Here is a 16163-nt window from a genome sequence, read left to right as displayed (position 1 = left end):
CATGGCTCACTGCTTCCTGGAACTCGTGGGCTCCAGCAATCCTCCTGCCTCAGCCTCCTGACTAGGTGGGACTATAGGCACACGCCACCATGCCTGGCTAATTTCTTTGACTTTTCTCTAGAGACCGGGTCCACCTAGGTTTCCCAGGCTGGTCTCAGACTTCTAGACTCAAGTGAACCTGAACCTCCCGCCTCGACCTCTCAAATTGCTGGGATTACAGGTGTGAGCCACCACACCCGGCCTAAATTTCTTATGTGCCATGGGACTGCAAAACATCATTATTAGGGGCAGCTGGATGGAAGGTATAGGAGGATACTATAGTGCCTTTTCAATATTTCTGTCTAAAATCTAAAATCATTTCAACAGGAAACATTTATTTCAAAACATGAAGGTGGTTATCCTTCCATGAGTTTGAAGTACAAAGGCAGGCTCACGGTGTCGTCAGAATTCAGAACGATGGTCGTGGGGCTGGGGGTGCTGGGAGGGGCTGGGCATGGTTGGCTTTGTGATCTGGGGTCTGGTGTGTTCCATCTCTGAATCTCTCTCGAGCTGCACTCTTTCTTAATACATTTTCATAAGTTTAACCAAAAATAAAACGAGGATGCGAAGCTTGCTTGGGTTGTTAAGCCTAGGGAAATTATCCAGCCATGAGCCCTGGCCCAGATGCTTCTAGAAGCCTGGAGGGAACTGAGAACTTTCCAAGTGGAGGCCGCAGAGGCAAGGCCCTGAGGTGGGAGCACACTGCTGTTCGTCCCTAGCTCTGAAGGGGGTGCCCTGGTCGGAATCAGTGCTGGGTGCAGCGAAAGCCGATCTCACCCGCTCCGCAGGGTGTTCAGCCTGCCAGCAGGGGGCCAGCTGGTCCTCCTGGGATATGGCACGGACCCAGCAGCTCTGTCTGAAATCATAATGGCGGAACCAAGGGCCCTCTACGTCCAGGTCCGTTGGGAGGCGGGGCATGGAGTTCCACTGCAGGAATCTCCAGGAACCCTGAGGTCCTCCCTGAGCCAGGGCCGGGCTGGGCACACCCTGAGTGCCCACAGGGTAGGTGTCTTCCCGGACAGCCCCACCAGGACAGGGTGTGGAAGAACGAGGTGCCCGTGGCGGGGAAGCTGACCAAATGGGCCGCGGGAACCGGGCTGGTGGGCCTGGAGGGGCCTGCCTGTCCCCCTTGCAGAGGGTCTTCCCGCCACGTGAAGCCGGCACAGGCCTGGATGCCGACGACCCTTGCTCGGGTTTGGCTGAAAGGAAAACAGACGCGGTCAGCATCTCCAGTGAGCCCACGCAGGCCTTTCCGGGCTGGGCCCCACCTGCCTGCGTCTCTGGAGTCCTCGGGGTCTCTGTGTGGCCCCCGTGGCCTGACACCGAGGACACGCCTGTAGTCTGCTGATCCCAGAGGGAGGGGTGCGTGCTGCCTGGCGTGGGGAAGCTGTCGTGGCATGGCGGGTGGCTCCTGGGACTGCCCCCAGGGTTCAGACTGGCTGGGGGCTTCCTGCCACACACCTTCGTCCCAGGGCTGTTGGGCCTGGGATACGGCCCCCAGTCAGAACTCAGGTGGGAGGGGCCTTGGATGTCACCCAGCCCCTTGTCACCTCACGTGGGGACCCGTCTCCGCAGTGGGTGATTGGGCCCGGACGTGGGTCACCCTCTGCCCTCCTGGGCTGCCCAGTCCATGCCAGGACTGACCGTTCCCACTTCTGGCTGAACTCTTGGCTCTGGCTCTGGGCCCGGGGTCCCGCCTGTGCCCTCTCCCTGAATGCTCTGTGGGTCAGGGACACGGATTCCCTTGTCTCCCTGGCTCCAGGCTTCTTGTCCTGGCAACCTTGGAGGAGCGTGCAGGAGTGAGGGGCCTCTGCTGCTCTCTGAGGCTGTGGGTGCTTGCAGGGAGGGGCGGGGTCTCCCACAAATGGGTCTGGGCTCGTCTAGTAACTTGGAGGGCCCTGCGAGGGGGAGAGGGAGACACCGTGGAAAGTGGGAGGGGGCTTGTTGGAGGGTCTTGCCCACATCCCCCTCCTGCGTGCACAGCATGTCCAGTATACACGCACTGAGCGCCTGCCCTGAGGACCGGTGGGCCTCCTGTACTTTCTTAGAGTCCAGGAGGAAGAGGAGGAAGAAAAGGTGAAGAGGAAGGCCCAGGTAGTAGGGTTGCGGGTCCCGGGCACTCCCCTACTACTGACTACCCCAGAGGGTGACATGGGAGGGGACATGGCACTGGAGCCCACCTGGGGGTGGCAGGTCCCCCTTCTTTCTTGTTAGTTTCTTCATAGAGGCCCTAAGATGCTTGAGCACAGTGTCCTCATCCCTGGCCCAGGTATCAACGAACCGGTTGCAAAAACGTGCCCACGGGCCACACCTGGACGTCTTCGTGAGGCGCTCTAGGGACAGGGTGGATATCAGGCCAGGGGAGTTACCTGGGAATGGTCACAGCTCATACCCCGTGGCCACTTCAGTCTCCTACTGGGCGGTGCCGGATCCTTTTGTGGCCACCCCAGGTGTCCAGATACACACAGGAGACTGTGGCTGGGGGGCGATCCGGACAGGGAAGTGCTCACCACACTCTCGACTTTCATCTGGGTCATGTGGGGGATGGGCTCGGTGTCACAGTGTCCTGCCCAGCCCACCTGGCCAGACCTCCCTCTGGGCCAGAACAGAGGATCATGAGGACAGTGTGAGGAAGCTGCCCTCGGGCCAGTCGGGGTCTGACCCCAGGGCTCCCCAGGCCCCGCTGGGCACACGTAGACTTACTCTGCTGAACCTTAAAGGCGATTCTTGTTATCGGCATCAGCGCCTGTTCGCCTTCTACCAGATACACGTCCCACAGGCGCAGGGTGAGCCCGAGAGAGATCTGTGGGGACAGCAGGTGTGAAAGAACCTGGTCCTTCCAGGCTGGGGCTGGTGGCTCGAGCTGCGCACACTGGGGCTTCAGTCTCCAGAGTCAGTGACCTTCCCCATGAGGGTCGCCTGAGCCCTCCAGGACGCTGGGTCAGACAAGGTCTTGAAGCTCCTCATGGGGGGCACTCATTTGAGTGGGGATGTGGCTCCTGGAGAGAGGGGCTTGCCCAGGGCTTGAGGCTTCCCTGAGCCCTCTCAAGTCGGGTCCTGGCCCAGTCTGCCCATGAGGCTGGGCCTGAGCCCCAGCCATGGCCCTGGGATGACCCCCCTTGGGCAGAGGGTTTTGCTTGTGTGTCCTTTGGGGACCCGCCTGAGCCTCCTGTGGGCTGGGAGTGAGCCAGACCCCCGGGCTGGGGAAGCAGGGCACTGCAGGGCAAGGAAGGTCCCTGAGCCAGGGTCTCCCTATGCCTCCTTACCCCGTCAATCAATATCCGGATGAGGCAGCCTAACGGGGAACACTGCCCACATAGATCTTTCTTGTCCTGATGGAAGCAACAGAGGTGCTCAGGCCACTGGGCTGCCCTAAAAACCTCCCTCTTCCAGGGCCTCTGAAGACCCTTCCCCTAGTGCAGAACACTGGGCGGTGTCCAGAGCTCCCCACAACACTGTCACCTTCCCACACTCCCGGTGGACACACTGCCCTTTGCCCTGCTCTGCGGGAGCTGGGCCCCCATCCCTGTGCCTCTGTCTCCTCCAGGGCAGGAAAGGAAACCAACTCCCAGCCCATGGAGAACCCGACGTCCCAGGTCGGGCCCTGGCTGGGACTCAGCCAGTCACCAGCCCCACGAGGGGCTCCAGCCCCCCTGCTCCTACAGCCCCACGGGAGGCAGGGCCTCTGGGAAGAGCTGAGGGGACCATAAACTCACCTGATGCCCCATGGTCTTGGGTTGTGACGTGGCTACCACATGCTCCTGTTGGTCTTGGAGCCCCTGGACGGTCCCGCCATTTGGGCTGTGAAATCCTGAGAAGCCCCCAGCCCATCATGAAATCAGAGCCTTCCCCCAAGATGTGGAGCCATCAGCTGCAAGAGCTGGGCAGCTGGAGAGGCCCCCAAACCCCAAGGCCTCCCACCCTCCCGTCTGGTGACCCCAACATGCGGCCTTTACCCTGGGGAGGTGGGGCGGGAACATTCCCTGGAGCCTGGCTGGAGGTTCCCCTGGAGGCCTCCTGGGCCAGGGTGCAAAAAGGGCAAGCCTGACTTTCAGGCCACGACAGGGTGGCCGGAACTGGGTGGGCGCTGGGCTTCCCGGTCATCTCCTGGTAGTGGGGTCGGGCCGGGGAACAGGGGATGGGGAGATGCTGCCACCTGGGCTTGGTCGGCCCATTCGTGGGCACCGATGGCAGCAGGAGCCCGGGCAGCTGGAGGGCAGGAGGACTCTCAGGGAGGGGAGAGTCAGCTGCACAGAATCAGAGCCGGAGGGCGTGGCTCCAGGACACAGAGGGTGGCCACGGGGAGGATGAGATGCCCTCTGCTGATGGGGATGAGAGGCGTCTGATTTGGGCTTTGGGGGTCAGCCGTGGACTCCTGTGGGACCCTCAGCAGAGACATCCTAAAGTCTCCCAACAAGCTGGCGACACAAGGAGGGTGCCTTGGCTGAAAGCTGTGATCACCTGGCCAGGGTGGCCATCCCCAGGTCTGGCTGCAGGAGGTCCCCGGGGCAGCTGTTCACTAACCCTGCAGGGAGTGCCTCTCACTGGCCAGCAGCTGCACCAGTGCCCAGAATGCATCCTCCTCAGGAAGATAGAGGAGGAACAAGGCGGCGATGTGGCTCAGGTCCCTGCAGTAGCCCACCTCCTGCAAGAGCCAGAGTCACCATGGAAGGACATCACCTGGGAGGGCTGAGGTCACCTGGGAGGACTCATGTCATTGGAGAGGGCAGAGGTGACTGGAGAGGCTTCCTCTGAAGGAGAGGCTTCCTCTGAAAAAGAGGCTTCCTCAGGATGCACATTCATTTCATGACAAGAGCCAAGTCCATCAGGCACTTCAGCACCTTGTCCAAAATGTCTGCTGATAGCACCATCCTGTGTGCGATGCTGCCAAGCTCCTGGGCTTTGGGGCAGCCCCAGGAGGAGGGCGTCATTTCTTGTTCTGAGAAGTGGTGGTCAGGCCCAGGTGACACCAGGAGTCCAGGCCCTGACTCCTTTGTGTCTCAGCTTGACCCCTTGAGACCACCCCCTTCCTTGGAGGTTTATGCCAGCGGTGAGCTGACATCCTACCTCCTATATCCTGGTGGGTCACAAATACTAACTTTAAAAGAAGCAACGACACCCCCACCAGACACCCACTCCTGTCAATATGGAAATATGGCCCGGGAACCTCACTGCCGGGAATACTCACCGGGTTGTACTCCTCATATGCCAGGAGGATGTGGAGTAGTTCCCGCTGCCTAGGAAACAGAGAAAGGGGGCTTTGGTTTGTTTTGTGCAGATGTTGTTAATTTCACTTTGTCTACAAAGCCTAACAGCAAATCCCATTTCAGGTTCAGATGTTTCACCAGATAAGCAGTGAGCTCTTCAGGGCCTGAGACCCTTGAAGAAATGTTTCAGTAAAATCCACATCTGTGACATGCAAATAGCCCAGTTGTACAGTGACTTGCCTGATCCTTTTCACTCTGAATGATTTTTTTTTTTTTTTTTCAGTTTGCACACACGCCAGTTCAGTCTGTGGGTGTACAGTTCCTCCACGGTTCCAAACCAATGTGCAGAGTCTCCCGGCCACCGCTCCAGCCCCTCCTGGGGCGACTCCTTCATCCTCCAAGTCTCCAGGGTGGCCCCTATGCACCCAGCCTCTCCCCGATCCGTCAGCCCCTGGCCACCCAGACTGCTTCTCAGTCCCTGTGGTTTGGCCTTTTCCAGAATGGCCTAGGAATGGGAATCCTACTGTGGTAGCTTATTGGGTCTGGCTTCTGTCCCTCAGCAAAATGCATCTAGGATCCACCCACGTTCGTGCGGGCATCACCGGCTCGTTCCCTTTTCTCACTGGGTCTTCCGTTTGAAGGGAGGACCAGCCTTGCTCTCCCCATCCCCGTGTTGAAGGCCGTCCCCGAAGGCTCCGTGTGTGAGTGACGAGGAGTCAAGCAGTGAACCTGGCATGCTGGTTTCATGTGGATGTCAGTTTGCAAATCAGTGGGTTCAATATCTGTGACACTTTGGGGATGTGTGGTTCAAGTCCATCGAGCTTTGTGAGCCACTGCCCAACGGGCTGCCAACGTGGCTGTGCCATGTCATGTTCCCAGCGGACCTGGATGAGAGTTTCCAGGACCCCTAATTCTCCCAGCATTTGGTGCTGTCACTGTTGCCTGGCGGGGGCTCATGGGCCCTCTATCCTGCCACCCTCCCATGGGTCCTACCATGGGTCCCCATGGGTCAGGGAGAGCACCCTTCACCATTGTGCATGATTTTGTTTGCTGCCTTCCATCTCCTCAGGATCCTCCTGGGTTCTGGCCCCACATGTTCCAGTCTGGCCCAGGGCTTGGAACCAGGGAGGTGCTCGGTTCATGGTGCCGGCTGCTCCCTGGGCCGGGAGAGCTCTTGGCAGCTGTGTCATCCCTCCTGGGTGACCCTGGCTTCTGCTCCGGGGAAGCCCCCATCCCTCTCATTCACCCCATCTCTGCTGGGACCCTGTGGCTCCCGTAGGCTTACTTGGTTCCGTATCGATCCCTGAAGAATATATGCTTCCTTAATGTCCCGCTTACGTCCCGGTCGATGCGCTGGATGTGCTCAGATGACTTCTTGCCCTTCTCCTTCATGATCTGTAGGGCAGGGCCAAGAGGAGGAAGCAGTCTCAGAACAGATGGAAGACTCCCTGCCCCCAGTGGCAGTCAGCCCACAGTCAGCACTTCGGGAAGGAAGGACAGAAGGAAGGTTTCCTTCTGCAGAAAGCTGCATTTTGGCTTGTTACTGAAGCCAGGGAGGGTCACCAGAGCTGAGTTTGTCTGTGGTGACTGTGTCACCATCTGTGCCCAGGGTGTTCATCTGACCTTCACCCCCAGCTCCCCAGGGTGGTCTTGACGTTCCCTCCAGCTGGAGACCTGGGCCCCGACACGGCCTGTCCTGTTTGTTGTGCTCTGGCTGAGCGTACCTGGTATCTTCCGGGGTTTTTCAACTTCATTTCCTCAGTGTTCAGGAGGACTGACCACATCGGGCCCCGGATGTTCATGGGCATTCCCTTGTACGCTTGATCTATGAGCTGTGGGCAGAAAACGATCTGGTGTCACAGGCCACGGGGTGACCCCAGTGAGGACCAGAGCCCGGGGATTCTGGAAATTGTCGGTTTTGGCCCCATGATTCCTCAGTAGAGGTGAGATCAAGCTGGGACAGGGTCTCCCTTCCCAGGACTGAAAGAGTGGATGGACACTCAGAGTCGAAACTCTGATCTGAACCTTTTCCTTCCTTCAGGTCACCAGGGCATCCCTAGCCTTGAGCTCCGGGTAGTCCCAGCCCTAGATTCAGATTCCCTCCCTGCAAGGTGACGCTTGCACGAATAGGCAGGAAATCTGGCGACCAGGCCTGCAGTCCTCTGGGCGAGGACAGTGTGCCGCCCACCCTCTGAGAGGCTGATGGTGCCAGGCCACAGCCATGGGTGCCTGTCCCCTGTCTCTGCAGAGAGTGCTTCCTCCCTCCACACGTTACCTTTCTGCTGCTTTTGTATTTCTCCCAGTCTCCCAGCATATCCACCCACTTGCTCTTTCGGCTGATCTCCCGCCGAATTTGCTGTCAAATGAGGCATGTTGGAGTTAGCGGAGCTGCCAGGCTTCCCAGAGCCGCCCGCGGATGCTGGGTCTTGGGCTCTGGAGCCCTGGTGGGAGCCAGCTGGAAGGAGCCAGGGAAGGGCAGACCTCAAGGGCTGAGAGCCTTTGAGCAAATGAGCACCAGTGGGCTGGCTTTGGGACCCCGGGATGTACCATCCTCAGGCCACAGACACACCAGTCTTAGGTCCCAGCCTCTAGGTGGGGTCCTGACACAAGCGCGCAGCCACCCCCAAGCCAGGACTGTGGTTCTCCTTTTGGAATTTTATCAAACTGCCAAAGTGAACAGCAACCTGGGGTCAGGTCCAGCAGGGACTGCTGCCCCTCCCAGTGACAGCGTGTTGCCCTCACCCGCCACCGCTCAGGCCAGCTGCTTCCTCTGCCTCACTGACCACCCGCCCAGTCCCTACGTCCCTGGACCAGCCCCTCCACGCATCAGGCTCTTACCTTCGCCTCCCGCGCAGTCAGAGGAGGCAGCTCCGTCTCACTGTAAGGCAACCCAGGCAGAGCTGAGGAACTGCACGGGGCCTGGAGCGGCCCCAGCCTGGGTGCCGACCCCCAGAAAGGACTGGCTCTGTCCCTTTCCAGCTCAGGGCTCAGCCCAGGAGAAGGCACAGGGAAGGGAGGACAAGGGCCTTCCTGTGGGGCTGACTCCCAGGAGGGGCAGGACCTGGGAGAAGAAGGAGTGTAGGGACAGCCTGGCCGGGGTTACTGGGGCCCCTGGCGTGGGGGGCGGTCAGGCTGCCCAATGGGGCTGCCCGTCCTGGACTCGAGGTGGTGCTTTCTGCTGGAGCTGAGAAAGGTTAGCCCTGAGATGGGATGGGGGCCGCCCAGGGTGGGCGACCGGGCCCTGACAGGAGTCCCTCAGGGAGTGACCACATCCCCCCGCCAGGGTCAAGGGAGCCTGCCCTGAGACCTGCCCGGTGTACTCTGGCTGCACCAGGGGCCCACCCCACTTGACAGCCCCAAGGCCCTTGCAGGTTCTGACCTCCCAGCATCCACCTGCCTCTCCCTGCACCCGAGCCACACACCCTGCGTTTCAGAAGTGGCACGGCTCGTCAGCTCCCTCCCGCCCTACCTCCCCAGGGATCCTCTGTCTCTCCATCCTGTGATCCCTGAGGGATGGGCTCCTGGCTGGGCTCCTCTTACCCGGCCCCAGATCCCTTCCCAGCACCAGACCCAGGTCTTTAGCCGCGAGCCCTGCTGCCTCCCTGGCCTCACCGTGAGATGCCCAGAACGGGGCCCTGCCCATCTTCTCCCCCGTTCTCCTAGGGCTACAGCCCCCATTGTCACCATGCCTTTTCCCCTCACGGGACAGTGAGGGCTGTAGCTCTAGGGGAATGGGGGAGAACAGGGGCAGGTGGGCCCTCAGAGACCTGCTGGACAACAGCCCTGAGGCTGGGCCAGGCGTCCCCTCACCCTGTGGCCATAACCCTTGCATCTCACCGGGGTTGTCTCCAAGTAGACAGGGCCAGACCCTCAGGCTGCCCCGCTCCTCTTGTGCTCACTTGCCGACAGAACTGCTGAGCGCCCAGGGGCCTGACCTAGCCCAGTCTCCATTCCCACCGGCTCCCTAGATGGGCCCCACACCTCTGGCCTAACAACCTCGGGCTGGACCTGCAGGGGAGTCAGGGAGGAGTTCTGTCCCTGGAAAGGAGGTTGACCCGACCTGGTGAGACATGTCCTGCGTCAGAAAGGCCTTTCTAAAAGCAAACCCATCCCTGAGCTGAGACAGGTGCTTTAGGGGTGAGGGGAGTGCAGAGGACTCACTGTACAATCCCCAAATGATCGACGTTGTTGTTGTAGCTTCGAAAAGGCTTAGGCCCCTTGTCCTCTGGCAGCCCAGCTCGGTGTCCCTGTAGCCCAGAGGGAGCCTTGGTGAGGGGTCCAAGGTAAAGGGTGCAAGGGCCTGGGGGCATTGGCCACCCGTCCCTGCCCTGTGCTCCTAGGGAGCCCAGGACCCTTTGACCAGGGCACACTGGAAGAGGCCTCCCTCCAAGAAGCAGACCGACTTGTACCTTTTCGTATTTCATAATGATGTCCTCTCGCTCTTGTGCCCACCAACTGCCCGCGACCTCTACCACGTCCATCCTGTGAGACAGAATTGTCTAAAGGTCACACCGTACGCGGCGGCTTCGGAGAACACCTGAACCGCTCTCGCCGGGCTCCCAGATGCTGGCTGGCTGCGTAACCCCCATTCCACCGCCGCCCCCAGGGAAAAAGGGGCCAGACCCAGTGGCCCACAGCTGCTCCAGTCTCTGGAGTCTCAAGTCCCAAGCAGGGGTGGGCATCTTCCCAAGGACTTGAGTACAGTGGGACCTAGACAGAGAATCCTGTTGTCCCCCAATGCCATGAAATGGGGACACACCGGCCCCAGCAGGTTGAATGGTTTCCACCTGCCAAGGGTGAAGGGCCCATGATGGGCTATTCCAGGGATGTGGAGGCAGACTGGGGTCAGCGACCAGAGGTCTCTGTGCAATCGGCCTCCTGGGATGCTCAGGGCCTCAGCGATGCCCAGTTTCCTACAGGGAACAAGATCTCTCCCGACTGCTCGGTTCTACTCCGCTCATCACTTTGGCTACCGTGGCTCTTCAGTCTGAACAGTGAAGCCACTTTAGGAATAACGCCTGTTGAGCAGGAGGGTGTTGGGTTTGGGGGATGAGAAAGATCTATTGTACGCATGGAAACCACGTCTCTCGCGGAGGGACTGTGGAGTCCACCATTCTGAGCCGTCCCAACAGGAGGAGGCTTCATTTTCCTGGGTCACTGAGGAAGAACAGTGGGTCCTTGGTCCTGGAGAACAGCTGGATGGACCGTCCCTCCTGGGAATACTCGAGGCAAAAGGAGGGCGAGGCCTCAAGAGGACCACGCAGAGCAAGAAATACCTGGGGAGAACCCTAGTGCCCGGACCCCTTTGAACACAAGGGAAGATAGTCTCCCCTCAGCCAGCCCTCCAGGGCTCCTTCATTTTCCACAGCTGCCCAAGGGCAGCAGGCTCCCCCGGACAAGGGACCATGTGTGTTCAGTGGGGCCCACAGCGACCATCAGGACCCAGCTTAGGGCACAGAGGTGTTCTGAGGACCGTCAGTGGATCTGTACCAGTGGCTCTATACCAGTGGCTCTGCCAGGACCAGGCTCTGCCCCATCGGGATGGGAAACCTGGGCAGATTTGGGATCTAGGGCAGGGAGGTCACAGGGTTCAGGCCTGAATTCCAGCACAGCACACGGCAGGGCTGAGAGCAAAACTCAGGATCATGTCCGGATTCCCAGGCCGGTTACTGCCTCTCTGACCCCAGACGTCTCATCTGTCGAATGGGGACATTTGGGAACAGCACCCACTCTACGAAGCCACCATGGAGACGAAAGAGCCAATCGTCTACACGGGCAGTGTAGAACGGGCGCCTGGTGAGTGCTCAGGGATGACCCTCCTCGGTAGCTGCCCCACAGAGGCCAACACCGCCCGCACCGTAGCCACTGCCCCCAAGTCCGCCTGGAGGGAAGAGAGCAGGTCACGCTCACCTGATTCTGATGAATCAGCTGGCCTGGGTCATGCCTCTCAGGGAGAAAACCTTTGAGTCCACAGAGCTGCTCACAGATACCACTGCCTGTGTGTAACTGCTGTAGACCACTGAGGCAGACCAGAGAGCAGATAGGTGCTAAGCACCAGTGACATTCTGAGGTCATGGCACGAATCACAGTGGGGCCTTGCCCGGGTCAGCAGTGCCCAGAGTCAGGGTCCTCCGCTGCCTGAGGCGTCAACATGCCTGCCTGCAATGTGTTTGTGCACGTGCGTGCACATGTGTATGTGGGTAAACACATCTGTGCACGTTGTGTGCTGCTTCTCTGGCCAGGCCCGGCTGCCCCACTCATGTGTGCACCCAGTTCCTCATCACTGTCACCCCCGAGGCCCAGGGCCAGCATCAGAGCATCCATGGCTGCTCCCTAACCTCAGCCCTCCCTGCCCAGGGTGGTCCTGGGATACACATAGGGGTGGAGGGAAGTGACTGCTGCTGTTGGATCTCAGAATACAAAAGCTAGTACTATTACCTAATGGTCTTTTTAGTGTCTCTAATGGTATCGCTTTTTCATTTCTGATATTTTAACTGGGTATTTCTCTCCATGACCCTTGGATATTCTAGCTAGAGGATCCTGTGGGGAAAGTGCCGGGCACACAGTAGGGGCTCACTCTTCTAGACATGTTATCTAAAACCTGGTTCATCTGTCCTTCCACACAGGGCCTAGGGGATGCCAAATTCCAGGGGCCAGAAAGAGCTTGGGATAAAAAGAAACTTCAAGGGGACGGCTTTGACCTGGGCTGAGTCTGCCTGTGCCATCCAACTGGAGTCTCAAGTCCTGAGGCAGGACGTCCAGATGCCCCAGTGCAGGGTCCTCCTGATCAACACCTGCTCCCCTGTACTCATTAGCAACCTCACCCACCCTACTCTCAAAGCACACTTGGCTCTCGTATCCAGGAGCTCTGCATCTGTAGATTCAGCAACAGCAGATGGAAAATATTCAGAAAATAAATTGGACGGTTATGTTTCTATTGAACATGTGCAGAGTTTGTTCTTGTCATTATTCCCTAAAGAATCCAGTATCACGATCATTTATGTAGCATCTGCATTGTATTACACATCATGAATAATCCAGGGATGGTCTAATGTCTACGGGAGGATGTGCATAGCTGATATGTAAATACTAGGCCATGTTATGTCAGAGACTTGAGGATCCATGGATTTTGGCATCCCCGGGGACCCTAGAACTAATCCATGGATACCAAGGGATGACTGTATAAACTCACTCAGGAAGGCTTCTCATTGGAGGAAGGTCCCAGTTCAGGACACACAGGGACATCTCCCTGGACTACTGTCCATTCATCCATCCATTCATCCATTGTCTCCCCCCACCCCCGCATCTCGGACTGTCCCAGTGACAGCCCTAGCAAGAAGAGACAAGAAACAAGTTCACGTTGTCCAGTTTTGAGGTAATGGAAGAAGTTGCACCAGTATGAGAATAGTGGGTCAGTTTTCTACAGGATGCAGAAAGCATATCGGGCAGCCTCGGGGTGCGGAAAGGAGCCTGGCCTCTCTAGCAGCCACACAGGCCTGCAGTAGGATGGGGCTGTGGCTGGCCATGTGGATCACTTGGGCCTCATGAGGGGAAAGGAAATACCAGGGGGGCAGAAGAGGAGCATGGGGGCAGCTGGTTGCCTAAGGAGAAGGCACCTCAGGGAAGGGGACTGTATTCATTTGTTTTCACACTGATGTAAAGAAATACCTGAGATTGGGTAATTTATAAAGGAAACAGGCTTAATTGACTTGCAGTTCCGGAAACTTACAATCATGGAAGAAGGGGAAGGGGAAGCAGGCACCTTCTTCACAAGACGGCAGGAGGGAGTGAGTGGAGAACCAGTAAGTGCCACACTTTGAAACTATGATCCTCCTACCTCAGCCTCCCAAGTAGCTGGGACTACAGGCACATGCCACCACACCCAGCTAATTTTTGTACTTTTTATAGAGACGAGGTATTGGCATGGTGCCCAGGCTGGTATCAAACTCCTGGACTCAAGCAGTCCACCTGCCCCAGCCTCCCAAAGTGCTCGGATTATAGGCATATCAGCCAGCTGATGGAGCATCTTTAATATCATATTTTTACTGTAACTTTTCTATATTGAGAAATGTTCAGGTATACAAATACTATTGTGTTATAATTGCCTATGGTATTCAGTACAGTAACATGCTGTACAGGTATTTTGTAGCCTAGGAGCAACAGGGTATATACCATGTAGGCTAGGTGTATATAGCCTAGGACATACTGTGTAGGTTTCTGTAAGTACATTCTATGATGTTCACATATTGATGAAATTGCCTGACAACATATTTCTCAGAACATATCCCTGTTGTTAAGCAACACATGACTATTCCCTTGATTTTTTATTTTTTCAGAGACAGGATCTTGTTCTGTTGCCCAGGCTGGAGTGCAGTGGTGCCACGATTGCTCACTGTAACCTCAAACTCCTGGGCTCAAGTGACCCTTCCCACTTCAGCCTCCTGAGTAGCTGGGACTACAGGCACATACCACCACACCCGGCTAATATTTTTGTATTTTTTGTAGAGGTGGGGTCTCGCTATGTTGCAAGCTGGTCTTGAACTCCTGGGCTCAATCAGTCCTCACATCCTGGCCTCCCAAAGTGCTAGGATTACAGGCGTGAGCCACCACACCCGGCCCAGACTCTTTAAGTTGGCAAAATATTCAGTTATGGAAAGCAGAATGCTGGAGGATGACCAAAGGGATAATGAGTCCTGATTCATGTTGACCCTATGACTTACTGCAGGTTGAGTGTCCCTTATCCAAAATGCTTGGGACCAGAAATGTTTTGAATTTCATATTTCTTTTGGATTTTGGAATATTTGCATTATACTTACTAGCTGAGCATCTATAATTGCAATATCCAAAATCTAAAATGTTCCAATGAGCATTTCCTTTGAGCATCACGTTGGCACTCAAAAAGTTTCAGATTTTGGGTGGGAATTGAACAATGAGAACACTTGAACACAGGGCGGGGAACATCAGACACCAGGGCCTGTCATGGGGTAGGGGGCTGGGGGAGGGATAGCATTAGGAGAAATACCTAATGTAAATGACGAGTTAATGGGTGCAGCAAACCAACATGGCACATGTATACTGATGTAACAAACCTGCACATTGTGCACATGCACCCTAGAACTTTAATTAAAAAAAAAGAAAGAAAGAAAAGAAAAAGTTTCAGATTCTGGAGCATTTCAAATTTCAGATTAGAGATATTCAACCTGAACACAGCTTCAAATAAGGCTAATTTATTTATTACATGGATCCTGACCTTGAGTTAAGTATTCAGAACAAAAATAAAATGTCCCAGCCTGGATAGAGTGACAATACTTTCTCTCCATTTCTATCTCAAGCTATTAAAGATTACCTGCGGCAGCATTCTTTTGTTGGAACTTGGTTAAATACATGTTCATTCCTTTCTTAAAGTCCTGAGAAAACACAATTTTTAAAATCCAGGGAAGTCAGATCTCAGAATTTATAGTATATTTGTATATTAGTAATCAAAAACAAATTTACTCAAATACTCAAGTATCAGATACACTGAAACACATATATCCTTCTGATGCCTACTGCCTTTTATTTAATAATGCGTACTCTATGCCTTCTATTCTTGCTCTTAAGTTTTATAACAGCCTCCCATTTCCACTCCCAAACACACCTGCACATCACTCATCTGAGAGACCACAGTAGTCAACTTCAAATAATTGAATTCTCATTCTTTTTGGTCATTAAAAAAAATGACAAGCCAGAAACTATTTGGGAACTTAATCCAAATAAAGTGAGACTTTTTTTCATGCAAAACTCTTATGATTTCACCATGAAAGAATGAAATACTTAAAGTTTTTTTTTTTTACCTTATCCCCAATGTAGTCATGCAGCATTCGGATGACAGATGCACCTTTGCTATATGATATAGCATCAAATATCTCATCAACCTCAGATGGATGGCCCACACTGACCTGGCAGACAGTGTGATTCAGGGTTATGACAGGAAGCAGATAGCCTGTAATACTGAATTACATAAAACGCTTTCTAGGAAAACCCTTCTAACTTACATTTTTCTGCCTTTAACTCACTCATAATGTATAACGATGGTCCTCAAAAAAATGTAGTAACTAATAATAATAAAGTTGAATAGAACATGATTCCTGTCATCCCTTAGAGCTTGGGTTCCAGTCCTGGCTTTGTTCTGCTGGGAAAGAAGCCACTATGGTTCTGTTTATTTTTGGGGTAGTTGCAGAGGAGTGATGAGGAAGACATGGAGGTGAAGAACATTAGATTTCTTGCACTAATTGTAATGAATTACAATTATATGGGAGCCTAATTAAATATGTTGAAGTAGGATTATAACTCTAGTTCTTTAGATACAAAATTTATATATATAAACTGAAGTAGGGATAGGCTAAGTCAAGAGAATTAAAGTATTCACAAAACAGACCCTGACAATAAAATATGTCCAGAATTTTCCTTGACATAAACAATGGAACCATAGTGTTACCCAATAGGTATGACTTCTCCCATACTACTCTTTTTCTTTTTTTTGGCAGAGTTTTTTGCTCTTGTTGCCCAGGCTGGAGTGCAATGGCACGATCTCGGCTCACCGCAACCTCTGCCTCCCAGGTTCAAGTGATTCTCCTGCCTCAGCCTCCCGAGTAGCTGGGATTACAGGCATGCGCCACCGTGCCCAGCTAATTTTGTATTTTTAGTAAAGACGGGGTTTCTCCATGTTGGTCAGGCTGGTCTCAAACTCCCGACCTCAGGTGATCCACCCGCCTCAGCCTCCCAAAATGCTAGGATTACAGGCGTAAGCCACTGCGCCTGGCCAGACCAATTTTTTTTTACTGCCTACCTTTAAAAGAAATGTTTAATTAGAACTTAGACTTACTAGCTTTTCAAGACTAGAAATATGAACCAGTAAAATCACCCATGCTATTTTCT

General features: G+C 54.9%; 1 protein-coding gene and 1 long non-coding RNA gene across 5 annotated transcripts; one reads left to right on the top strand and one right to left on the bottom strand.

Moving 5' to 3' along the window:
* Positions 1-354: 354 nt before the first annotated feature.
* On the bottom strand, positions 355-15117 carry TBC1D3E (TBC1 domain family member 3E). 2 transcript variants are annotated; one of them, XM_006722254.3, is made up of 15 exons: positions 15080-15117; positions 14593-14653; positions 9656-9728; positions 9408-9493; positions 8085-8124; positions 7522-7602; positions 6971-7078; positions 6532-6641; positions 5228-5276; positions 4564-4684; positions 3756-3850; positions 3306-3371; positions 2743-2842; positions 2220-2372; positions 355-1238 (listed from the first exon to the last, which is right to left on the bottom strand). In XM_006722254.3, exons 3-15 carry the CDS (start codon positions 9725-9727, stop codon positions 670-672), a joined length of 1650 nt encoding a protein of 549 aa, XP_006722317.1. In that variant the 5' UTR covers position 9728; positions 14593-14653; positions 15080-15117; the 3' UTR covers positions 355-669. The 2 variants fall into 2 exon arrangements, with proteins under 2 accessions (XP_006722317.1, NP_001278395.1); NM_001291466.2 differs by lacking the exons at positions 14593-14653; positions 15080-15117 and adding an exon at positions 11157-11272.
* LOC102723851 (uncharacterized) lies at positions 11362-12188 on the top strand. Of its 3 annotated transcripts, none has more exons than XR_007065736.1 (2): positions 11362-11442; positions 11873-12188. It is a non-coding gene; the product is annotated as an uncharacterized LOC102723851 (long non-coding RNA). The 3 variants fall into 3 exon arrangements; XR_007065735.1 differs by having other exon boundaries at positions 11365-11446; XR_007065737.1 differs by having other exon boundaries at positions 11391-11424.
* Positions 15118-16163: the final 1046 nt, after the last annotated feature.

This window comes from Homo sapiens, chromosome 17 (genome assembly GCF_000001405.40).
Source record: "Homo sapiens chromosome 17, GRCh38.p14 Primary Assembly".
Taxonomy (NCBI): domain Eukaryota; kingdom Metazoa; phylum Chordata; class Mammalia; order Primates; family Hominidae; genus Homo; species Homo sapiens.
This window is presented reverse-complemented; position numbering and strand designations above follow the sequence as displayed.